Source organism: Homo sapiens, chromosome 18, assembly GCF_000001405.40.
Source record: "Homo sapiens chromosome 18, GRCh38.p14 Primary Assembly".
In the NCBI taxonomy this organism is placed as follows: domain Eukaryota; kingdom Metazoa; phylum Chordata; class Mammalia; order Primates; family Hominidae; genus Homo; species Homo sapiens.
Window position 1 is genome coordinate 12,579,458 of NC_000018.10, and position 26,321 is coordinate 12,605,778.

A 26,321-nucleotide genomic window follows, 5' to 3' on the forward strand; every position below is an offset into this window, starting at 1 on the left:
AGATTTAAGGTTAGCAGCAGGAGAGCAGGAAAGGGGACTGGGAATTCCCACTGAATAAATACAGAGTTTCAATTTGGAATGATGAGAAAGTTTGGGAAACAGATAGTGGCAATGGTTATATAGCAAATGCCACTGAACTATACAATCAAGATTGTAAAAATGGTGAATGTTATATGTATTTTATCACAAACATATAGAGGCTGCTACAATTTCTTGGGGAGCATTACCATGCAGCAACATTCACAAAGGTATGATTCCCCTTACTTGCCAGGGGTTACAAAAATTTCCAAAACAAAATAAAGGTCCCAGGAATCAAGTTATCTCTCTACTCTTGCATCAGGACTAGAACTGCTTTGGAAATACCACTGTACTTCACTCTATCACTGTACCTCACTCTACCACTTCACTCTGTTTCGAGCCCTGAGCACAGGCCAGTTTGCTTGAATCATCAAGCCTTTAAACCACCTGTAACCAGCATTTGACACAGTTAACCTCATCTTATTTTTAAATACTTTCTTCTCTTGATTCTACATTCTTCTAATTTTCTTCCTGTCTAGCTTGATGGCCTTGACAAGAGATGCTTTCATAGAGTGGGTCTTGGTGAAAACATGATAAGAGGAAGTAGAAACAGGATAGAAACAGCTCCTTCTGGTTATTTCTGAAGTACCGTCCTTGAGAAGGTATTTGGTAAAGATGCAGGCAGGTGGACTGGACAGTGGGACAATGTGAAAGTTCTCTTCAGGTTGCTTCTATTTTCTTGAGTGAAAAAACATAAATGAGATTGAGAAAGGAGAAGAGGGTGTTGCAGGGTTGGAGAGGAAAGGTTTGAAATAGTATCCCAACCATCTAATAATGTGTTCTCTCTCTCTCTCTTTTTTTTTTGGGAGATGGAGTCTCGCTCTGTCACCCAGGCTGGAGTGCAGTGGTGTGATCTTGGCTCACTGCAATCTCTGCCTCCCAGGTTCAAGCGATTCTCCTGCCTCAGCCTCCCAAGTAGCTGGGGTTACAGGTGTGCACCACCATGCCCGGCTAATTTTTGCATTTTCAGTAGAGACGGGGTTTCACCATGTTGGCCAGGCTGGTCTTAAACTCCTGACCTCAGGTGATCCACCTGCCTTGGCCTCCCAAAGTGCTGGGATTACAGGTGTGAGCCACTGTGCCCAGCCAAGTAATGTATTCTCTTTTAAAATGTCAATTTTATCATGTCCCTCTCTTGCTAAAACACTTCACTGCTTTTTAAAAAATGAACTACACTACAGCAAAGAATTTCCTCATAACTCTCAGTCACATGCAGAAACACTGTCTTCAAGGCCCAGGCATGGTGGCTCACGCCTGTAATTCCAACACTTGGGAGGCGGGCGGATTGCTTGGGTTTAGGAGTTCGACAAACGCTTTCTTCAGTTGGAGAGAAAGCAGTAGAGCTAGTTATTCCTGGTGTGGTGCGGATGACCCCAGCCTGTCCCTCAATACTGGAGATATTTTCTGAGGGAAAAAAACTTCTCTTTTCTTATTGCCACATGATTCCACTTATCCCCATGGGTGGAGAGTATGTATTATTAGGTCTGCCTTTTCCTAGCACACTGTCTTGCACATGATAGGTACTCTATTTAATACCCACTGAACTACTAAAGTAAGCAAACACTTTACTGAGTTTCTAGGCCAAGTAATGATAAAAAAGGACTTGAGAATTCCACAGGTGAGACCGGCAATCCCCAAGAAAGGGGAACAAACACACCCCACGTCATCAAAAGAGCGCAAAGCAATCATGGCATTTAAGTCAATAATCCTGTGTTAGTCATTTCCACAGAAAGTTCTCAAACTGCTTATTCAAAATATTATTACTATAGGACTTTGAACTAAAGTGACTTTCATCTAAGTTGCTTACAGCACTTGATTAGTAACCATTAATTAAGGTTTCACGCTATACAATGTATAATTTCCGTTTTGAAAACAGTAAAACCAAGGCACTAAAAGGTTAAAAAAAATAACCAAGATTAAAAGATGAAAATTTAAAAAGTAAAAAAGCCACACTATTTTTACTCTATCCTGAGTAAATCTGAAAAATACCATTCCTGCTAACATTTTTCCTTAACTATACCTACTGGGTCAAAATTCATTATGACAGGCCAGGCACGGTGGCTCATGCCCGTAATCCCGGCATTCTGGGAGGTCAAGGCGGGCGGATGACCTGAGGTCAGGAATTTGAGACCAGCCTGGCCAATGTGGCAAAACCCTGTCTCTACTAAAAATACAAAAATTAGCCGGGCATGGTGGCACACACCTGTAATCCCAGCTACTCGAGAGGCTGAGGCATGAGAATCGCTAGAACCCAGGAGGCAGAGGTTGCAGTGAGCCAAGATCACACCACTGCACTCCAGCCTGGGCATCAGAATGAGACTGTTTAAAAAAAAAAAATCATTATGAGAGACTGTTGTTCTAAAATGCTTAGTTTCAGAACACAGACAACAAGAAACTTGATGAACTACTTTTTCAATCATAGGTTTCATTAACAACTGTCTGCAACCCTAAAAGGTTCACATTCCCATAAAGTTTGCTCCTTAAAGGCAAATGAATTTCCTAACTCCACAGATGACTTACCTCAAACAAAACATCATGGGTACAACATAGCAGACCAAAATCAAAATTGAGTCCTTTGTATGCCAGTCAGTTTCATAAACTATAAACCATGGTAAATTTCAACTAAGAGAATCAGTATCTTAGAAAACAGGAAAAGCCCAAGGTCTGTAGTTCAACCACACATTCTATGCTTCAATCCCCTTTGGTTATTTCCAATTATTTATATGGTTAATGAAAAGGCAGAGAGGCATGCTCAGAAAACTGTCTCTTGTAGAGCAGATGAAAAAAAGTAGAAATTATTATTTGAGAAAAGGAAAAATTTAATATTGCTGCTCTGATGTCACCCAAATGGCAATGACCAGCTATCTCCAACTTTAAAAAATATGTAAAAATAAAGCTAAACTGTGGTATGTTTCCCTACTTTAGGGGAACCATGGCCCTATATTAAGTAGATAAATAGATTACTGTATAATTATACAGTTAATAATTGCTCCACAATTATTAACTAAAGCAAGAGTCGCAAGTGTGTCTCAAGGTAGAAAAATCCATAAAACATGAGGTCAAATTATTCCAAATCTCTCTGATAATCAGAGTATCTGGGGGAATTTTTTGTTAGTTTCTTAACACATGTATATCCAGGCTCCATATCAGACCTACCAAATCAAAATCTCCAGAGCATGGGAGCCAGGTTATCAGTATTTTTTATAGCTTTCTAGATGATTCCAATGATCAGCTGTTCATTCATCCATCCCTTCATTCGTTCAATAAATGTTCATTGAACACTTACCACCCAAATGTTCACTGAGTACCTACAAGTACTATGCCTGATGCTGGGGGTGTACTGGGGAAGGAAATAGACAGTCTGGACTCTACCATCATGGAACTTAGTACAAAGATCAGACATATACAGTGAACCGCCCAGTGGGGACTGTGGCAAACTGAAGAGTGCAACTCCTAAAGGTGGATATCTGCTTTACTAATTCAATTCAATATTTCCATGAAGGAATGCATGCTTGATACTGACATATGTGATTTTTAAAGAAGGCAAGGGAAAAAGGGGGCAAAAATATTGGATGAAACATGACAGATGGCACAAAGAAAGATGACAGAAATTAGTCCAAAGATATCAGAAATCATAATAAGTGTAAACAGGGGCCAGGCTCAGGTGACTCACACCTGTAATCCCACCACTTTTGAGAGGCAGATGCAGGAGGATTGCTTAAGCCCAGGAGTTCGAGACCAGCATGGGCAACAGCGGATGATCTCTTTATATTTAAAGAAGAAAAAGGCCGGGTATGGTGGCGCAAGCCTGTAATCCCAGCACTTTGGGAGGCCAAGGCAGGCGGATCATGAGGTCAAGAGATTGAGACCATCCTGGCCAACATGGTGAAACCTCATCTCTACTAAAAATACAAAAATTAGCTGGGCATGGTGGCACATGCCTGTAGTCCCAGCTACTCGGGAGGCTGACACAGGAGAATCGCTTGAACCTGGGAGGTGAAGGTTGCAGTGAGCCAAGATCGTGCCACTGCACTCCAGCCTGGTGACAGAGTGAGACTCCGTCTCCAAAAAAGAAGAAGAAGAAGAAAAAATTAAAAATAAAAAAAGGCCAGGCCAGGTAGCTCATGCTTGTAATCCTAGCACTTTTGGGAGGCTGAGGTGAGCAGACTGCTTGAGCCCAGGAGTTCAAGATCAGCCTGAGCAAAATGGCAAAATCCCACCTCTACAAAATACAAAAAAAAGTGCTGGGCGTGGTGGCACACACCTATAGTCCCTGCTACTTGAAAAGCTGAGATGGGAGGATCACATGAGCCTAGAAGGGTTAGAAGCTGCAGTAAGTCATGATCACGCCACTGCACTCCAGCTTAGGTGACAGAGAGAGACCTTGTCTCAAAAAAACAAAAACAAACAAAAAAAACAAAAACAGAAAATAAACCAGTAAAACATGCTTATTAAAAGACAGACTCTCAAATGAGATATAAAAGAGATAATAACATACTGTTCATTAAAAATACGCTTAAAGCAAGACACAGAAAGGTTAATATAAAAGGACAGAAATATATAATACATGCCAGGAAAAAACAAATCAGAAGAAATATCAAAAAGAAAAATGGGCCAGACACAGTGGCTCACGTCTATAATCCCAGCACTTTGGGAGGCCGAGGCAGACAGATCATTTGAGTTCAGGAGTTTGAGACCAGCCTGGCCAACATGGTGAAACCCCGTCTCTACTAAAACTTCAAAAATTAGCCGGGCATGGTGGTGCACGCCTGTAGTCCCAGCTACTTGGGAGGCTGAGGCAGGAGAATCTCTTGAACCTGGGAGGCAGAGGTTGCAGTGAGCAGAGATAGTACCACTGCACTCCAGCCTGGGCAACAGAGCAAAACTCCATCTCAAGAAAAAAAAAAGAAAAATGAATTTAAGAAAAACAGTATTTAAAAGAACCAAAGAAGTATTTCAAAAAATAATGATTATGAACTTGCCTGTACCAAATAATATAGTCTCAAAATTTAGACTTGAAAATTTTACCTAAAACAGGCAGCCAGAATTACAAGGTGAAAATAATAAATCCATAGTCACAATAGGAAAATTATGAACATCTCCCCTCAAATTAGCCAGGCATAGTGGCATGCACTTGTAGTGCTAGCTACTTGGTGGCTGAGATGGGAAGATCACCTAAGCCCTAGGCGTTTGAGTCCAGTCTGGGCAACATAGCAAGGCCCTGTCTCTAAATTAAAAATAAATAATATATATATATTTTTTGAGAGGGAGTCTCGCCCTGTTGCCCAGGCTGGAGTGCAGTGGCGCGATCGCAGCTCACTGCAACCTCCGCCTCCTGGGTTCAAGCGATTCTCCTGCCTCAGCCTCCTGAGTAGCTGTCCTGCCTCAGCCTCCTGAGTAGCTGGGAATACAGGCATGTGCCACCATGCCTGGCTAAATTTTGTATTTTTAGTAGAGATGGGGTTTCACCATGCTGTTCAGGCTGCTCTCGAACTCTTGACCTCGTGATCCGCCCACCTCGGCTTCCCAAAGTGCTGGGATTACAGGCGTGAGCTACCACGCCAGGCCAATAAATATTTTTTTAAAACAACACCTCCTCCCAAAAAAACTTACAAATCAGACCAAAAAAATTGGATGAAGACTGTCTTAATAATATGAATAAGCCAAATGGAACACTTACACATACACATATATGTTTGTGTGACATACAGAATATTACAACACTTCATCCCTCAAAAGTTAAGCATTATTTTTAATTAGAAAACCAAAAGTTAAGGAGCTGAGAAACCAAAAAACTTCATGATAGGAAGGGCCAAGAAACATATAGGTAGGATCCCACCAGACAAAAGGCTTTCAACAGTGGCAATAATTTAAGAGATGTCGCAATGTCATGTCAAGGCAGTCTCTGAAATCAGCTGCCTATAGTCACATCTAGGATCTAGTACTCACATGCTGCATGATTTTGAGAAAGTTTCTATCTCTATAGCTGTTAGTGTGTCTATATAATGGGGATAATAACTGTACCTGCTTCATAAGGGTCTTGTGAAAATTAAGATATATGGAAAGAGCTTAAAACAGTGTCTAGCAAACTGTTAGCTTTAAAAAAATGTTAGTATGCTATTAAACACAATGAGGTAGGTCTATATGTACTAACATGTAAAAAGATGCTCAATATGTATTAGGATTAAAAAAGGTATGTTGCAAAATGCTAAGTAAACCATGCATGAAAATGTTTATATAAAAAGAAAATATGTAAATAATAAACCCATATACATATATATTTTTCTAGGAGAACACACAAATTGTTAACAGTTATCTCTGGCAAGTGGGGCCAGAAGAGCTCGGCAAACATTTTGTTTCTATATTGTGTGAATTTGTTTCTATATTACTTTCATTTGTTATATATGTATGCATGTATGTATGTATGTATTTAGAGACAGGGTCTTGCTCTGTCACCCAGGCTGGAGTGCAGTGGCACAATCATAGCTCACTTTAACCTCAAACTCCTGGGCTCAAGTGATCCTCCCACTTCAGCCTCCCAAGTAGCTGTGGCTACAGGCGTGTGCCATCACGCCCTGCTAATTTTTAAAATTTTTAAAATAAAGACAGGGTCTCATTATGTTGCCCAGGCTGGTCTCAAACTCCTAGCCTTAAGCAATCCTCCCATCTCTGCCTCCCAAAGTGCTGGGATTACAGGCATGAGCCTCTATATCTGGCCTCTTTCATACTTTTTAAATTACAAAAAAACGTAAAAATCACATTTCACAACTGAGTTATTTTGCCACCATAATCCTAAAACAGTAAGTCTAAAACTGTTACTGCCATAAATAGTTTGGTTTGTCCCATCTCTACATTCGTTCTTTTGCCCATAAAACAATGGTTCTCAAACCAAGTTGCCAGATTACCTTGGTATTCCATAGGCTGGAAATGAAGCATCAGACCACTAAGGCCTAATAATAGCTTTTCTCAAGTCACAGAAATACTTAAACTAATGAGACAATTCTCTCAGTCATGGCATCTGCTATACTTTTACTGGCAAATGATGAAACTAACAGTATGCAAATTAAAAATAACATCCATTTACAAGTTTATTAGGCTTACTTCTATATAGCTTTTTTATGGATGTGTATGCTTATAGTGAATTTATATTATATAAATCCAATAAAGTCATTTTCTACTAGTAAAACTGTTTCTCATTTATAAGACAGATAATCATGTGTCTGGAAACTCAAGCATGGTAACTCTAAGCTCTGAACAAATTTGAAACTCATTGCTCTAAATTTGCCTCCTGAGCCCCTGAAGGAAAATTATAATGTAGGTTTTTTGAGAAAACACTTATTTTAACTGTCCTTTTAAAAATATTTCATGACTCTAGACACTTAAAGAAAGCAAGTATCTGAAACAGTCTATTACTAGAAATAAGTTGACATTTACTGAGCATGTGCCAGCACTTCACCTGTGCCAAGCACTTCACTTGTATGTTATTGTATGTTATTGTAAATCCTTGCAGTAATTCTATCAAGTAGGTATTATTCTTACCCTATTTCCTTCTGATCAAGAAACTGAAGCATGAAGAGGTTACATAATTTGCTCAAAGTCACACAGCCAATGAACAGGTAGAGCCACTAAAAAGTAGGTGGCACCAACACCTGTGGAGGTCAAGGAGTGGTAAGGGATGATTATATACAGAATAAATTCTGACAGACGGTGTGATGAAGTGAAAAGAGTACTGGATTGGGCACAAGCTGACTTAAATCTGGATTCCAGTTCCCTAACTTCATAGTTTTGAGACTCTAGGAAAAAAACCTCTCCAGCTTCAGCTACCTGCTCTGTAATAAGACAATGCCAGAGTGATTCTCATATAATTTCGAGCTCTAAATATATTGCTAAATATATATTTTAGCACTGATAAGGTAGCCAAAGCAAGAGAATGAAAATAAAGGCTGGATCAACTGGCCCAGGAGCATATTCTAAGAGAACACAGAAAGGTTCTCAATTTTTGAAACAAAACAGCTGATTCATCAAGGTGCCCATTAGAAATCAGTCCCAAGCCCCTTCACAGGCCTGCAGAATTAGAAACCATAGAGGGAGGATCTGGTACTCCACATTTTTAACAACTCTACAAGTGACACATACTGAGAACTACTGGTCTAACAACTACACTGATTTTTCCTACCCAGTGATTTAGGCATTAGAGAGAACAGAGCTCAATGTAAAGGATATATTCCACCACTTCTGTTTCTTGAAATTAAGAATTCTTTCAAATTGCTTAATAAAAAAACTCTGAAGGCTTTCTTAAGATACAATCACCATACAATGCACCCAAAGTATCCATTTTAATACTTTTTAATATACTCAGAGTTGTACATTCATGATCACAATTAATTTTAGATCATTTTCATCATCCCAAAAGAAACCCCATACCCATTAGCAGTCACTCCCCATTTTTCTCCAACCCTACTCCCTCCCCTCAGCTCTAGGCAACCACTAATCTACTTCCTAGCTTTATAGATTTACCTATTCTGGGCCATGTCATATAATGCAATCATATAACATGTGGTCTTTTGTGAATGGCTTCTACAACTTAGCATGTTGAAGCATGTATCAGTACTTCATATCTTTTTATTGTCAAATAATATTCTGTTGTATGGATATATCACATTTTATTCATCCATTCATCAGTTGATAGATATTTAGTTGTTTCTAAATTGCCTAATTTTAATTTTTTTTTAAAAGTAGATTAGGTTAAAAAAACTGCATTAGAATTTTTCCAGGTAAATACATCAATGTCATCTATTCACTATAGTAAGTCTTATTGCAGTATAAAAAGTACTACTTACAGTTAATAGTGGCTTTCATATGTTATTTACTGCTATTAAATAGGCTGTCAAAATATAAATGATTATCATTACATGTTTAAATAGTAGAGATTTATATTTTTTAAACCAAATATTGTTTCTTTCAAAACCAGTTGTTAAATTCTGGTTCTGCCACCAAAGGTTATCTCTTCTGTACTGGAAAATTACTGACTTCACTTTCCAGTTCACAAATGCTCTCCTTGTCTCACTTTAAAAAAAAAAAAAAAAAAAACCTCCGTGGACTTGCTCCAGTCTACTTCACAGACCTTATTTCTTACTACTCCCTTTCTTACATTGCTAGTGCTGACCTATTAATTGTCCTTACGGGCAAATATGTCAGCTGCTATTAAAAACTCCGGAAAACTACACAGATTTTCCTAAATCTTTGTTTTTTTAACTTCAGGGTTCTTTTATTAAGCCTTTAACACTTTACACTTGCTTCAATTTAAATTTCTTTTCCTACTTTAGATATAGTCAGAAGTTTTCTTCCAATAACTGACAACTCTCAAGGTACAAACATCTTTGCCACTTGGATTCCGTGTGGTCAGAGACATGTCTGTTTTGGTCACTCTTGCATTCTCAGAACCTAGGAGAGGTCATGGGTAGTTATTCATACAGATACATACAGAGATAGAAAGAATTTTTAAAGGCAGCTTAAAGGTAATTTTCATAATAGCTGACATCTACTGAGCTTCTATGTGCAAGGTCCTATGCACATATTATTTATTAATGTGAATTATTTCTCATACAATACTATTAAATAGGTATTATGCATATTAACACCTCTGCACCCAATTTCAGAGATGAAGAAACTAAGATTAAGTAAAGTAACTAGAGACTAAGTAAGTAACAGAGCCAGAACTCAAACCCAGGTCTTTCTCCATAGCCCATGAACTTGGCCACTATAGAGCTCCATTCATATAAAGTAAAAGGCAACAGAGCTAAAGACAGAAAGAGCAAGTGAAGGAGGAGACCTGGACCCTGGACCACCACCCAGGTACTAAGGAAGGAGGTCTGAAGGCCGCCCACTCTGCCAGGGTGTCCGGTGGAGAAAGCAGGCATACTCTTTCTATGACCTTTCCTCAAACACACAAGTATCATCAACAGGAAAGAAAAGGCACAAATATTGCCAGGATACATAAAATGTTTTCCCTCAGTACCAGGTGCACTTAGGTAAAAGGTGCTCTTAGGTAGAACTAGCCTGTTCTGAATGGTTTACATTTCATCATTTCTAAAAAAATCTTCTGTGCCAAGCTGAAAAAACAAACAAAAAAGCCCAACCTGAGAAGAACTGGGGCAAGGACAGACACTAGCTAACATCCAACTGCCAATTCCTTCTGGTTCTCATTCAATGACAGCCACTGCCTCTAATTCAATGACAGCCACTGCCTCATTACTCATTTTATCTATGTCAAAACAGGGAAGCAGGGACCAAATGTTTTTAAGAATTAGTTTATTCTTTGCTACAGCATAGTTTAATGCAACAATGATATCCACTGTCTGTTCATACAAACTTTATTTTTATAAAACAAATTTATATTGATAAGAACAGACGTTTGCAATTTTTAAAGGCTTAGATACATAATAAATATATTTTCAGGACTAGCTGGCATACAAGAATATTTTAATCTTGCCTAGTAACATTTTTCCTATGCAGTAACTGAAAAAGCCATCCTAAAATGCCATCTCCTAATTTCTTTTTTTTTTTTTTGAGACGGAGTTTCACTCTTGTCGCCCCAGCTGGAGTGCAATGGTGTAGTCCCGGCTCATTGCACCCTATGCCTCCCAAGTTCAAGTGATTCTCCTGCCTTAGCCTCCTAAGTATCTGAGATTATAGGCATGTGCCACCACGCCTGGCTCATTTTTTTGTATTTTTAGTAGAGACAGGGTTTCACCATGTTGGCCAGGCTGGTCTCAAACTCCTGACCTCAGGTGATCCACCTGCCTTGGCCTCCCAAAGTGTTGGGATTACAGACGTGAGCCACCGTGCCTGGCCGCATCTCCTAATTTCTGAATGAGTTATGTCCTGAAGTTCCCTTTCAATGCAATCTGAAAACCATAAATCAATTTTTCCCATAGAAAAAGTTTTCGGGCCTAAAGAAGAAAGCCCAAAGGAAAAAAACAAAAAGAGAGAAAGTTATAAGATGTTCCAGTATTGGGCCACAATAGACTATTTAAATTGAAAACAGAGTATAAAAGTGTCCTGAGCCTCATGTCCACCTTACAACCCCTGAGCCCTGAGCAGTAGAATGGCAGCATCAGCGTTGTGGAGGCCTCGAGGGCTAGATTTGAAGAGCAGCAGTGAGAAGACACAGGCATGAAGACCCCCAGGAAGCCACTCTCAAGCGGGGGCAGGAGCGCTACAGGCCCCTGGGCAAGAAGGTTGGCAGGAGAGGCACCTTTTCTTGAGTCCAGGACTTCCCATGTACATATGTTACTGTGTACAGTTTGTAAAATGGGTTATGCAACTGTCATGATTTCTTTGGCCTTAAAACAAATTCACTGAGGTAGTACTTAGCCAAAATAATATCTATAAACAATATATAGTCATATATTATCATTTTATCCTCACTATTTTTACATATGACAAAGTCTCTGACCTCCAAAACATACATTCTAGAAGAGGGAGAGAGGCAATAAGATTAATAAACAAATTACAGTACATTAGAAGGCATTAAATGCTATGAAAAAAATAACATCAAATGCAGAGGTGGCTATTAGGGTAGTAGTTTGCAGTTTTAAATAGCACAGTTAGTTTAGTGTAGCCTTCACATCAGATGGTTACACAGGAGTAGAATGGAAGGAGGTGAGAGGCTAAGTATGCGACTATCCAGGGAAAGAGAGTTTCAGGCAAAAGGAACTGCCAGTGCAAAGGCCCTGAGAAGGCAGTGTGCCTGGAATGTTATGAAAATAGCAAGGCAGCTAGTGTGTCTGAAAGAAGTGAACGAGAGAGAAAAAGCATGAAATGAGAGGTCATGGAGCACCAGGTCACACAGGGCCTTGCTGACCACTGGAAGGGCTGTAACTTTTACACTGAAGAAGAGGGGGAGCCACTGCAGGTTAGTAGAGGAGTGACACATGACGTTACATGACAAAAAATGGTTGCCTCTGGCTCCTGACTGAGAATAGACTCTAGTAGAGTAAGGGCAGTCGGAAGGAGTGCTGATGAGAAATGGGCAGTTTCCGGCTACCATTTCAAAGCACAACCAAACGCATTTGCTAATACATTGACTGTTAGGTATTAAGAATCAAAGGCAACTTCAAGGTTTCTGTCTTGGTCAGATATAGAAAACATTAAGAATAGGCTAGCGTGGTGGATCACGCCTGTAATCCCAGCACTTTAGGAGGCCGAGGTGGGCAGATCACGAGGTCAGGACCATCCTGGCTAACACAGTGAAACCCCGTCTCTACTAAAAATGCAAAAAATTAGCTGGGCGTCATGGTGGGCACCTGTAGTTCCAGCTACTTGGGAGGCTGATGCAGGAGAATGGCGTGAACCTGGGAGGCAGAGCTTGCAGTGAGCCGAGATCGCACCACTGCACTCCAGCCTGGGCGACAGAGCAAGACTCCATCTCAAAAAAAAAAAAAAAAAAAAAAAAATCAAGAATAGGTTTGGGGGGAAAAAATCAGGAATTAACTTTAACTTTGAGATATTCCATTGATATCTAAGTGCACCAGTATGTTGGTAGTCAATTTCAGAGGAGCAAATAATTCAGAGAAGATACCGAGCTGTAAGTCATCAGCACAGAGATGAGATTTAAAACAATGAAACCAGATGAGATCACTGTCCTGGATTTGAGTTTGAGTCTCAAGAAGAAAAAAAGAGTTCACCAGGATTTTCTTTTTTCTGAGATAATAAAGAAATTGTCAGTATTTTACTTAGCTGAAGACTCAATTTGAAGGGCTTTTAAAGTGTACGATAATATTAATATCTGTTAAACTAATGTAATATCACATTTTAGACAAAGTTATAATCACATTTTTCATTTCTTCTTTGAAGAGCAAGATTCTTTTTGTATGTGCATCAGAAAAATGAGAAGATTTATAAATGTGAGTTTACAGATCATCTAATCCAATTCCTTTGTTTTATAAAAAGGAAGCGAAGGAAGGTGAAGGTGAAGAGAGGCTAAGTGACCTGCTTGAATTCACACAGCTCACCCGTGGTAAACTACAGCCCTGGTCTGCAGACTCCCTGTTCTCTGTGTCACTACTGGCTTTTCAGGTTAAGGAGTTCCAGTTAATAATATTCTTGCAAAGCCTGTCTCTATCTTAATATAACTGATTATCATTCAATATCGCCACAATGGCAGTAACTGCAGAGTTAGGTAGACGACAAAGCATCTGAAAAAGCTCCTTAGGTGACTGTGACAACCAACCCATCCTCACCCCTAGGTGTGCCATGTCACTTAGTGACAATATAGAGAGCTGTAGATAATTAACTTCTATCTCCTAAGCCTAATCCAGTCGTTGTTTTCCTTTCTTTTTTAGAGACAGAGTCTCACTATCTTGCCCAGGATGGCCTCCAACTCCTGGCCTCAAACAATTCTTCCACCTCAGCCTCCCCAGTGGCTGGGACTACAGGCGCAAGCCACCACACCTAGCTAAGTGGTTTTACTGTCTAATGTTACTGTTAGGTTCTCTGGTCCCTAAGTCTTTGTTGTAGATTACTCTTCGTGTTACAAAATAAAAATAAAAGCTTTTAGCTTCATGCTATGGTTTTAAATTGGTTTAAACTATGGTTACAAAACCCTCATCAGAGTTGATGCCTAATTATTGCTTAAGAGAGGCTTAAAATATAAATTAAAAACTATAACCTATTAACTGTCTCTACTTAAAAATTTAAGACCATACAGATGTGAGAATTACTAACATTATCACTTAACTATCAATAAAGGGCAACATATTAAGGAATTTAAATAGCAGACCAATTCATTTGATAATGCAGAATAAATTTACTAAGAATTCATTTCCTTGCCAATATGAAACAACAATTTTTAAACATTTTATGTTCTATAAAGCACTTTACAAATAAAAGTTGCTGTTATTATGCTTATCTGATAAAAAAGATGAGATTGTTAAAGGTCACCATTTAATGATCCACGCTGAAGACCAGGAAATGTTTCATGCATTTGCCATTTGAAAGAATATTTACTAAATTCCCGCTATATACCCAGCATTACACAGGGCTGGGAAATACAACGGAAACAAGACATAGGTCCTCTCCTGAAGGATTTTATGGTTTAGTGGGAGATACACTTAAGAAAGCATGCAATTGGCCAGGCGGGGTGGCTCATGCCTGTAATCCCAGCACTTTGGGAGGCCGAGGCGGGCGGATCACCTGAGGTCAGGAGTTCAAGACCAGCCTGATCAAAATGGAGAAACCCCATCTCTACTAAAAATACAAAAAAATTAGCCGGGTGTGGTGGCACATGCCTGTAATCCCAGCTACTTGGGAGGCTGAGGCAGGAGAATCGCTTGAACCCGGGAGGCGGAGCTTGCGGTTGAGATTGCGCACCACTGCACTCCAGCCTGGGCAACAAGAGAGAAACGCTGTCTCAAGAAAAAAAAAAAATAAGAAGAAGAAAGCATGCAATTAAAATAAAGCAGACTGAGTTTTTCCCTAGGAATTAGTATAAAATGCTGCCTATGATGCACATTGGAAGGACAACTAATATAGTCCGGGAAACGATCCAAGAAGAAAAAATAAGCCCAGGTTTTAACAAATGTGTATTAGCTAGGCAAAGTAGGAAATGTGTTATGGGCAAAAGGAACAGTACTGCAAATACCTAGAAGTTAAAGAGAAGATGAAGCTTTCAAAGCCTTAAATATGGATCAATACCACCAAAGTAAAGACTGGGAGGGGAAAGGGATGAACCAGAGATATCTGTGATCAAACCAACTATGTTATTAAATGAATAAACAGCCTATTAAGCAATGGGGGGATCAGTTAAATAATAATGTCCATTATTATGGACATTAATTAATGGAATATTAAGCAATCATTAAAAATGATGTTGAAATATATTTGATAACAGAAAATGTTCATTAAAACAAGTATTTATTGATAATCTGTTACTGTACTAAGCTAGGTAGTTGAAAAATTAGGTTACAAACCACTATGTCCACATGTGATATAATTCTTAGGAAAATCACACATATGTCCATAAGAAAAAATGATTAGAAGAATATAAAATGCTAACAACAGCTATTATTGTTGGGGAATGGGGTTGCAAGTGATTTTTCCTTTGCTTTTGCTTATCTTTATTTTCTAATCTTTCCCTCTTATTATAAAAACTAGTATGGTTGACCCTTGAACAACACGTTTGAAGTGCATGGGTCCACTTATACACGTATTTTGTTTTCAATAAAAATTACTCTTGAGTGTTTTGCCTGTCTCTCTTGCCTCCTCTTCCACCTCCTCCACCTCTTCAGCCACTGACACCCCTGAGCAACAAGACCAATCCCTCCACTTCCTCAGACTATTCAATGCAAAGATGAAGACCATTATGATGATCAATCTCCACTTAATGAATAGTAAATATATTTTCCTTATGAGGTTCTTAATAACATTTTCTTTACTCTAGCTTACTTTAAAAATACAGGTCTGGGTGTGGTGGCTCATGCCTGCAATCCCAGCACTTTGGGAGGCCAATGCGGGATAACTGCTTGAACCCAGGAGTTCAAGACCAGTGTGGGCAAAAGAGTGAGACCCTGTCTCTACCAACACAAAACAAAACAAAAATTCGCTGGGCATGGTGGTGGGGACCACTATAGGGGTGGCTCATGCCTATAATCCCAGCTACTTGGGAGGCTGAGGTGGGAGGATCACCTGAGCCCAGGAAGTTGAGGCTGCAGTGAGCTATGATTGTGCCACTGTACTCTAGCCAGGGCAACAGAGCCAGACCCTGTCAATAATAATAATAATAACAATAATACAGGATATAACACATATAAAATATGTATTAACTGTTATGTTACCGGTAAGACTTTCAATCAAAACTTAAGTTTGAGAGAGTCAAATGTGTTATACTCAGATTTCTGACTGCAAAGGAGGGTCAGTGACCCTAACCACCACGTTGTTCAGGGTCAACTGTATAAACAATCCAAAGGAGATTACAGAACTTTTCATAGGACCAAGTGCTATTAAAAGAAAACTATACGTGTGGCTCATCTACCAGAAGTTCTGGCAAATGGCAGACATCTGAAGTTGTATCTGTGTTTTTTAAACAATTATCCAACTAACCTTTATTGAGTACCTATTTGTATCAGGCACCAAAATATAGATACAAAAATAAATGAGGCATAGTCCTTGCCCTCAAAGGGCTCACAGCCAAGTGGAATAGACAAACACATATACATACAATGTGTGCTGTGGTGAGGTAACTGTTAACAGAGATATCACAAAATACTATGGAAGTACTGAGGACAGAGACCTCCAGCATTTCAGAAGCTGCTATTTAATACACAGATATCTAGGTGTATTTAGAAAGTCACATTTATCCCACATCACCTTGACCTATTTGCCACAAGAAAAAAAAGAGGGGATGGGGGATTGGAAGAGACACTACACTAATTATACAAACTAGATTTACAATGCAGTATTGATGTACTAAACCTGCTCTACAAGGAGCCTATTGTAGGAATTACACAATGACCAGACCAAGAGACACATTATCAGATGGTCTACTCCTGTTCTTTAGCACTCTAGGTTGTCAAGGGCAGATCTGCAATCAAGTCTGACTGTGTATGAATGGAGTTTTCAAGTAAAGTGAAATAGCTAGAAAAGAGGAAGCCATATATATTACCCAACTTTTAGTGAAAGAAAACAAAAATGAAGGGCAAAATAAAAGCCAAGAAAGAAGACTAGAGTCTGTTCGTTTCATTTGTCAAATAAACCAAAACAATTAACTTCCCCCTCTTGAAACACTTGCTTTAATTTCCTATCCTTATTTTGCCTTTGTCATTGCATAGACATTTAATTTTCTTTTTCACCATTCTAGTTCCAATTTTCTTTTAAATATAATAGGAACAATCAAATATACAGTATCAATCTGGTCACTTTGAGTACTTAAACCTCTATTATACAGAAAATTATGAAAAAATATTTTTTCCCACAAAGTTGAAAGGGGGATGAGAAATGTTTTGACAGTGTAGGCCACATAAGTAATTGTAATTACCCACACAAGATCCTCACTGTGAAATTTCCTCAGAAGGAGAAATCTGTGGCTCATATAAAATTCCATATATTATAATGATTATGGCATTGGATCTAATTTTTTAAAATACTGTTTTATGGTTAATCCTAATATTTAAAATGAATGTGTATATTATATATCAATTATAAATAAAATTAATTTTTAAGAAATGCCTATCAACTGACAAAATACAGTTGGGAAATTTGACATTTGTAATTTACCTTAATTCATTACATGTTCCTCAAGAAGTCACTGTAGATAGGAGAACTTAATACCACAGCTATAGCCCTGCACTGTCCTGCTAACCCCCTTCCTGTTTCCTCCTTCACCTGCACTGTCCTGCTAACCCCCTTCCTGTTTCCTCCTCCACCTTAAGAATGAGCAACCCGCCCAAAAGCCTGCTCCAGTCACCACTGCCCTGTTAACTTTTATTCTAGCCAATCATCACATCTCTTGACAAATGCCTTCTTCTCTTCCTGTGCTCTTTTATAACCTAAGCACCCTTTCATTATCTTACCTCAAAACCTCTATTCACGGATTTTTGCAACTTCCCTCTAGTGTCTCTTTCTACACACACACACACACACACACACACACACACACACACACACACACACAGAGGGAGAGAGACAGAACCACTCTTGATAATCCATTAATAGCTTATTTATAACCCCCCAAAGTTGAAAGTGATCCCCCATTCTGACCACCAGATTTTTCTGGGCCTGGTGGAGTGCAGCAGGCCTGAAGGAGAGCTAGAGGGGCTCCAGAGCACACACACAGGGAAGGAAAGCCTGGTGGGAGAGGGGCGTTACTTTATTCTGTGTGGGCAAGCATCGAAGAGGCCACCAAACAGGTATGAGCCAGAACAGCTTTCCTGTGCCTAACTCATACCAGCAACTATTGGGGAGACTGTATTTGAACTATATCTCTGGGCCTGGCACTTTTTTTAACATTTGCCAATGAATGGTTTCATCTCAGCGCCCCAGAATAGTTCAACTGCTTCAAAGAAATGTTTGGAAGAAGAAATAATTTGCTGTATAGTAATAATTTGCTGAGAATTAAATACTAACAGCCTCAACTGCTGGTTTCTCTTGTACTAAGAGTATTCAAAAAACAAATAGATACGGTCTCCGCTGTTTTTTAGAGCTGCCCAACTACTTAAAATAGCTGCTTAATTTCTTTGCTCCACTTTCCAGGGGCACAATTAAATATGCAGGCTGGAGGAAGAAGAGTGGAATCAAATGGCACAGATGCCCACATGACTGCATAGCTGGGTGTGTAGGCCCTGGACTGCCCCAGCTCACCCCCATCCACTCATGTCTAGATGTAAGACTGAGGAAAACTGCAGCGAAGGTGTGGGTGAGCAAACAGCTGGGACTGCATTGGCCAGGGACGCATGTGCAGAGGCGGCAGAGTTCACATACTTTGGATTTTTATACAAGAGACTAGCTTGAGTCACTAACCAGAGGGCACATAATCTTTGACATTTCAAAATTTCGAGATATATGATGTAAGAAAACCATTTACTCCTAATATTTTCTTATGTCTAATATTTGACATAATTACGTCTTCCTAAACATACACATTTTTAAACTAAATTAGAAATGTAAAATTATTATAAGATATCTCAAATCTAAAATTCTTTTTGAATTCTGTCAGAAGAAATGATTCTTTCAAGAACACTCCCTAAATTCCTGGTTATTAAAAACAATATTTTGAATACTGCCTAAGATTTCCTTTAGAGGTCACATAAAAGGCCAAATTACATTTTAATGACTATACAGTAGAAAACTATACTTCTATAACAACTGGCTTTCTGGCAGTATCTGTCCTAACATATTTTTAGCATATGCCACTGTTTACACTGTTTTTTTTTTCCCTAGTAACAGTGAAACTTCACCAGACCAAATTAACTACCAATTTAAGAAAAATTTAAATATTATCAATAAAACCTATTTTAATGACTTCCTTGGATTATTCTCGAGACTTTTCTAACAGGTCCTTACCTTTGATATCACTTAAAACTTACAGAAAAGTCTCAGGAATTAAAATGACTGAAAAGGCAAGGATATCGACTGGCTCAGTGGGAAAGCATGCAGCCCTGATTGTCACTGGCAATCACCTAAAATCTCAAGAGGAAGTGGCTGCTGGATGAAGCACACACTGAGGGCTAGAAGGCGGAAAGACAAAAAGAACCTGAGTATTTGATAAGACTGTGGAGCTCTAAATAAAGCCAACTCTGAAGCCCACCCCTCTGGAGTTCTAGCTTCTGAGCCAATTTTTGTATCACTTTAAGTTTTTTGGCATTTTTTTTGTTTTGATATAATTTTAAACTTACAGAAACGCCTCAAAAATATACAGAAATTATCAGGAATTCCTGTATATCCTTTGACCAGATTTATCAATACCAATGTTTTACCCCATTTGCTTTATTCACATTTTCTTTCACAAACCGCTGGAGAGTAAGTCACAAACTTTATGCCCATCTCTTCTCCAAATATCTACAAATAAGGGCATGTCTTAGATGACCACAATATAATTATAAAAATAAGAAATTTAACATCTAATCCACAGTCTATATTCAAATTTCAACTGTTCCCCAAACATGCTCTTTGTACTATCCTTCCTAACCCAGGCTCATCCATTGCATTTGTTGTCTTATCTCTTTAGCTTTTTTCTTTTTTTGAGACAGAGTCTCATTCTGTCAGCCAGGCTGGAGTGCAGTGGCACAACCATAGCTCACACAACCAAGCTCATAACCTTGAATTCCCAGGCTCAAGTGATTCTCCCACCTCCTGAATAGCTAGGACTACAGGTACGCCCCACTACACCTGGCTAATTTAAAAAAATTTTTTTATAGAGATGGCATCTCGCTATGTTGCCTAGGCTGGTCTCAAACTCCTATCCTCAAGTGATCCTCCCACCTTGACCTCCCAAAGTGCTGGGATTACAGGTGTGAGCCACCACATCCCTCTTTAGTCTCCTTTAATCAAAAACAGTTCTTCAGCCTTTGTCTTTCATTACAATGACACTGGAAGAATACAGGTCAGGTACATGGTTCCTCAGGTATTTGGTTTGTCTCATGTTTCTGCAGGTTATGCACACTTGGCAGAGATACCTGGCAGAGATACATGACCCTTTCAGTGAGTCAGGAGGCACATGGTATGGTTTGTCCTAATACTGGTGATGTCAACTTTTATTACTGTGGCACACAGACTCTAAGACATCCCTGTCCTTGCCACCTCCTGCTGTTCATGCCCTGTGTGACTCCTCCCTTTGAGTCTAGGTGGGACCTGTGAAGTGCTTCTAACTGACAGAATACAGCAAAAGTGATGGGATGTTCACTATTACAAATACATGATTATATTACATAAGACAGCTTCCATCTTGCTGGAGTCTCCTCTCCTTTGCTGGCTGTGAGGGAGCAAGTGGCCACGTTGGGAACCCACATGGCAAAGGAACTGCAGATAGATAGTCTCTACGTGCTGAGGGCATTCTCCAGCCAATGGCCAGCAAAAAAAAAAAAAAAAAATGAAGCCATCAGTTGTACCATCACAAGGAGCTGAATGTGGCCACAAGCACATGAGCAGGAAATGAATCCTTCCCAGACTAAGCCTCCAGATGATGAGCCCCAGCTGACACCTGAATTAGAATCTTAGGAGACCCTGAACAGAGGACCCAGCTAAGCCAGGCCAGACTCCTAACTAACAAAATCTGTGAGATCATAAATTTGTGGCTGTTTTAAGCTTCTAAACGTGTGGTAACATTGTTACACAGCAATACAAAACTAGTTCAGTCACTTAAGGTGGTTCTGCTAGATTACTCCGGTATACTATTTTTGCCTTTGAAATCAACAGGTATTTAACAGTGAACTCTTTTGAAACTGTTAATATCATGGTCCTCATCAAACCTTCATTAACTAGTTTTAACAACCACTGATGATTTTTACCTAAGTCAGCTAATACTATGATGGTTGAAAAAGAACAACATTCCATCCATCATCACTCCTTCTATATTTGTGAGTTGGCACTGTAAGGAAGAACTTTCCTTTCTCCCCATTTATTCACGTATTTAGAGTCTTGTGGATTTTATTATTTTATCAGTTTTATTTGGTAACTAATTTAATACATTATCATTATTCTTTTTTTTTCTGAGGTAGGGTCTCGCTCTGTCACTCAGGGTGGAGTGCAGTGGCGCCGTTTCAGTGAACTGCAGCCTCGACCTCCTGGACTCAAAAGTGTTCCTCCTAAGTCAGCCTCCAGAGTACAAGGACCACAGTGTACGCAACCACACCCAACTAATTTTTGTGTTTTTGTAGAGATGAGGTCTCACTATATTGCCCAGGCTGGTCTCAAACTCCTGGGCTCAAGCAATCCACCTGCCTCGGACTCCTAAACAGCTGAGGTTACAGGCATGAGCCACTTTGCCTGGCCCATTATCGTTAGTTATTCTGATGCTCAAGTATTTCCAGACTTGGCCAGTGGGCAGTCCTGCAAGCTGACTCCTGAGTCCTTGTGACCTCTCCCATAACTTTTAAAAACTGCTTTATTGGCTGGGTGCGGTGGCTCACGCCTGTAATCCCAGCACTCTGGGAGGCCGCGGCAGGCAGATCACTTAAGGTTCGAGACCAGCCCAGCCAACACGGCAAAACCCCATCTCTACCAAAAAAAAAAAAAATACAAAAAATAGTCAGGCATGGTGGGGGGCACCTGTAATCCCAGCTACTTGGGAGGCTGAGGCAGGAGAGTCACTTGAACCCAGGAGGTGGAGGTTGCAGTGAGCCGAGATCACACCACTGCACTCCAGCCTGGGCGATAAAGCAAGACTCCATTTCAAAAAAAACGAAAACAAAAAACAGAACCAAACTGCTTTATTGAGGTATAATTTACTTACCCTAAAATTTGCTGATTCAAAATGTACAATTATTTAATGATTTTCAGTGAATTTATAAAAATATGCAACCATCACCACCACCACATAATTTTAGAATTTGAATTTTTTATCACTCCAGATGAAAGAAAATTCATGCCCATTTGCAGGCACTCCTCTTCTGACCCCCAGCTCCATGAAATCACTCACGTACTTTCCGTCTCTACAGTTTTGCCATTTCTGGACATTTTATATAAATGAAATCCCACAACGTGGCCTTTGTCTCTGGATTTTTTCACAGTGCCTGTTTTCGAGGTTCCTCCATGTGGCTATATCAGTATTTTGTTCCTTTTTATTGCAGATGGTACTCCATGGCATGGCTGCACCACCTTATCAGGCTTTGTATGCTTCCTTATACCTGGCACAACAAGATGATTTGGCCTCATCTTGTCCTTCCCCTGCCCCAACCCTGGAATCAGCTACTTCTCTGGGGAGCCCTGGTTACTGGTAGTGGGGAAGGCTATTTAGAAACAAAGACGTGGGTGACTAGTTGTGCTCACTTGGGTGACTAGGGGTGCCACTGCTTCCAGGCCCTTTCACAGTGTGTGCGCATGTCTGCACGTGTGCACATATAACGTTTACATAAATACATAGACATATATAGACATATACACACACACATACACATAAAGGGCTGAGTTACTTTTTGTTGCTTGTAGTTGAAGGCATCCTAACAGACAGCAACATAAGAGATCAGATAAAAATCCCTTCCTTTCTCTATTTAGGAAGGAAATGGTAGTAAAAAACAGATCAGTTGTAGTTTCATTCTGCTTCAGAACTCTGAAATGCATACTCAAAAGGTTTCACTTGAGCCTTTTGGCACAAGAAATCTTTTCCAAGCAATGATCCCAAATGCTTGATGTTCATTTTTAATTTTTATTCTATCAATTCATATACTGGCTTAGTGAGTAGCCAGCAAGGAGAGGCTGCTCAGTCCCAGGGTGCTGGGAGTTCACCCTTTGAGATTGTCATCCCACACTAAACACAATCCAGAAAAATGACAGATATGAATTTTTAAGTGTTTTTGAGATATAGCCACTTTAAAGAAATCAGTAACTCTGTGGCGCAGAAACAGAACAGAAAAATGCTGCAGTATAATAAAAGGGCTGAAGCCATGGTCTCCCTGATTCTCTATCCAGAAGCAGCCAGGAGGCTGCAACCCAGATATAGGAGACATGCAATCAGGTCTACTGTGTAAGGCTGGGGCAAACCTTTCCTACTGTGAAACAAGGCTGATGAAAATTGTGAAGGCTGTGCAGATTACAATTTGTAGGAAGAAACACTGCCTGCTCAGGGATTGGATCTATAGCTCTAATATCGCTGTAGGATGAATACTCCAATCCACCCATAAGAATGGTCAACGGCCTAGTTATGTATGAAGTCCTTCTATGGACATCAGGTGAAGAACCCATTGATTTGTAGGTAAACATTTTAGTATACAGATGCTGCTTGACTTATGATGGAGTTACATCCTGATAAGCTCATTGAAAATACCATATAGTGAAAATGCATCTAATACACATAACCTACAAAACATCATAGCTTAGCCTAGCCTACCTTAAACAGGTTCATAACACTTAAGTTAGCCCATGGTTGGGCAAAATCATCTAACACAAAGCCTATTTTATGATAAAGTGTTGAACATTTTATTGAATACAACTGAATAACTGAACAATTTATTGAATACAATATGGTTGTATGGGTACTCAAACTATAGTTACTAAATGTTTATCACTTCTACACCATCATAAAGTCGAAAAATCTTAACTTGAACCGTCTGTAACTGTGTTTGCTTTTCTGGGGAAATGTGATATTTTGAAATACATATTTGGTCTTCATCCCTATCTCCTGGCATACAACTCCTAGAATCCTTGGAATGTCCAAAGTGATGGGTGTCTTTTTGTATATTAATGATTGAAGGCTGGGCCACCCCTAGGTAGCTTCAGGATGGGGCTGGTCACTAGAAAGATGAAGGCATGATTAGAGGACTGGGACTTTCAGCACCAACTCCAAAGAGGGGAGAGAGGCTGACGTCTGAGCTGATCACCAGTAGCCAATTTTTTTTTTTTTTTTTTGAGATGGAGTCTCACTCTATTCCCCAGGCTGCAGTGCAGTGGTGCAATCTCGGCTCACTGCAACCTCCGCCTCCTGGGTTCAAGCAATTCTACTGCCTCAGCCTCCCGAGTAGCTGGGACTACAGGTGCCCGACACCACGCCTGGCTAATTTTTGTATTTTTAGTAGAGACAGATTTTCACCATATTGGCCAGGCTGGTCTTGAACTCCTGACCTTGTGATCTGCCTGCCTTGGCCTCCCAAAACACTGGGATTACAGGCATGAGCCACAGCGCCTGGCCTATCACCAGTAGTCAATGATTTATGCAGTCATTCCAACATAACGAAGCTTCCCTAAAAACCCAAAGGGACTGGGTTTGGGGAGCTTCCAGAGAGCTGAACATGTGGGGGCTCCTGGCGGGTGGTGAGCCTGTACTGGGCACAGGAGCTCCACACTCCTTCCCATGTGCCTTTCCCATGCTTCTCTTCATCTCGTCACCAGTACCCTTTGTAGTATTCTTTATAATAAACCAGTAAACCTGTTTCCCTGAGTTCTGAGAGCCACTCTAGCAAATCAGTCAAATCAGTGTATCGAGTAGGGGGAACCCCAATTTAGAACAGATGGGTCAGAAGCATAGGTGAGAACCTATTACTTGCGATTGGTGCTCAAAGTGGGGGTCAGTCGTGTGAGGCTGAGCACTCTCACCCTGTGCTCTCTCCAGCAAGAGAGCATCAGAACGGAACTGAATTAGAGGACACGCAGCTGGTGTCCACTAAAGAATCCACCAGAGAACTGGCTGCTGGTAGGGAGAAATCCCCACACACTTCTTGGTGAGCAGAAGTCACAGAAGTATTCTGTATTGAGAGAGTCAAGGAGATAAAAACTGTTTTTTTCCAGAGGAAAGTTCTGTATTTTTCATCAAATTTTCAGTGAGATCTATGATCTGCAAATAGAAAAGGCCCACTGCCCTAATATATCCTAATATATATCTGAGTTGACATGATGGCCTCCGGAGTTTGCCTCACTGTGTTTAGTTCTGTCATTTATTTCTTCAAATATCTCTGCATGACCACTAGGTGCAAGACACTGTTTGTGAGCATTAGAAACATGGCAGAAAAAAACACCAAGTCTCACTTAGTGAGGGAAGGGAAGGGTCAGAGTGAACGTTTTTGGACATAAATCAGATCACATCCTGTCAATCTGTTGAGAACTCTCTAGTGGGTGCACACTTAAGTTCATAGCAGCATTCTTCACAATGGCCAACAGGTAGAAGCAACCAGTTGTCCACCAAACAGATGGATAAACAAAATGTGATGTTTATACACAATAAAATATGATCCAGCCTTCAAAAAGAAAGAAGCTCTAACACACTATAGCATGGTTGAACCTTGAGGACATTATGCTAAACGAAATAAGCAGTCACAAAAGGATAGATACTGGTAATTCCACTTCTATGAGTAACTGGTCAAATGCATAGAGACTGAAAGGAGAATGGTGGCTGTTGGGGAAAAGGAAAAGGGGAGTTGTTATATAATGGGTAGAGTTTCAGTTTTGCAAAATGAAAAGGTTCTGGAGATATGTTTCACAACAATATATTTAACACAACCGAACTATAAACTTAAATGACTAAGATGATCAATTTTTTATCATAATTTTAAAATAAAAGGCTGGGCATGGTGGCTCACGCCTGTAATCCCAGCACTTTGGGAGGCCGAGGTGGGCGGACCATGAGGTCAGGAAATGGTCAACATGGTGAAACCCTGTCTCTACTAAAATAAAAAAAAATTAGCCAGGTGTGGTGGCACGCACCTGTAGTCCCAGCTACTCAGGAGGCTGAGGCAGGGGAATCGCTTGAACCCGGCAGGCGGAGGTCGCAGTGAGCTGAGATCCCGCCACTGCCCTCCAGCCTGGTAACAGAGCAAGACTCTGTCTCAAAAAAATAAAAAATTAAAATAAAATAAAGAAATTCTTTTCACCTTACTTATTTGCTAGCAGATTCTAGGAGGACAAAATTACTTATCCAAGCAGGCCAGCAATAAGAGAAAATCTCAGAAACGTGGTTTTAAAAAAATTACCACATGCATTACTGATTATTGAAATGAAACCTGTATTTAATAACACAGTCATATTATCTGCTACTTGAATTACTCCTAGGTACAAAGGAATTAAATACGTAATGGTACACAAATAAATATGAATATCTGTAT

The 26,321-nt window shown here is 39.9% G+C and overlaps 1 protein-coding gene across 14 annotated transcripts in view; it reads right to left on the minus strand.

The window, feature by feature from the left end:
- The window catches only part of SPIRE1 (spire type actin nucleation factor 1), a 215,580-nt gene that overhangs the window by 132,946 nt on the left and 56,313 nt on the right, over positions 1-26,321 (minus strand). The window contains exon 3 of one of the 14 annotated variants that reach the window (NR_197429.1): positions 8,919-8,962. The exons of the other annotated variants lie outside the window; for them this stretch is intronic. The gene's annotated coding sequence lies outside the window, so the exon portion shown is untranslated. The remainder of the gene's footprint in view (positions 1-8,918; positions 8,963-26,321) is intronic. 14 annotated transcript variants of the gene reach the window in all.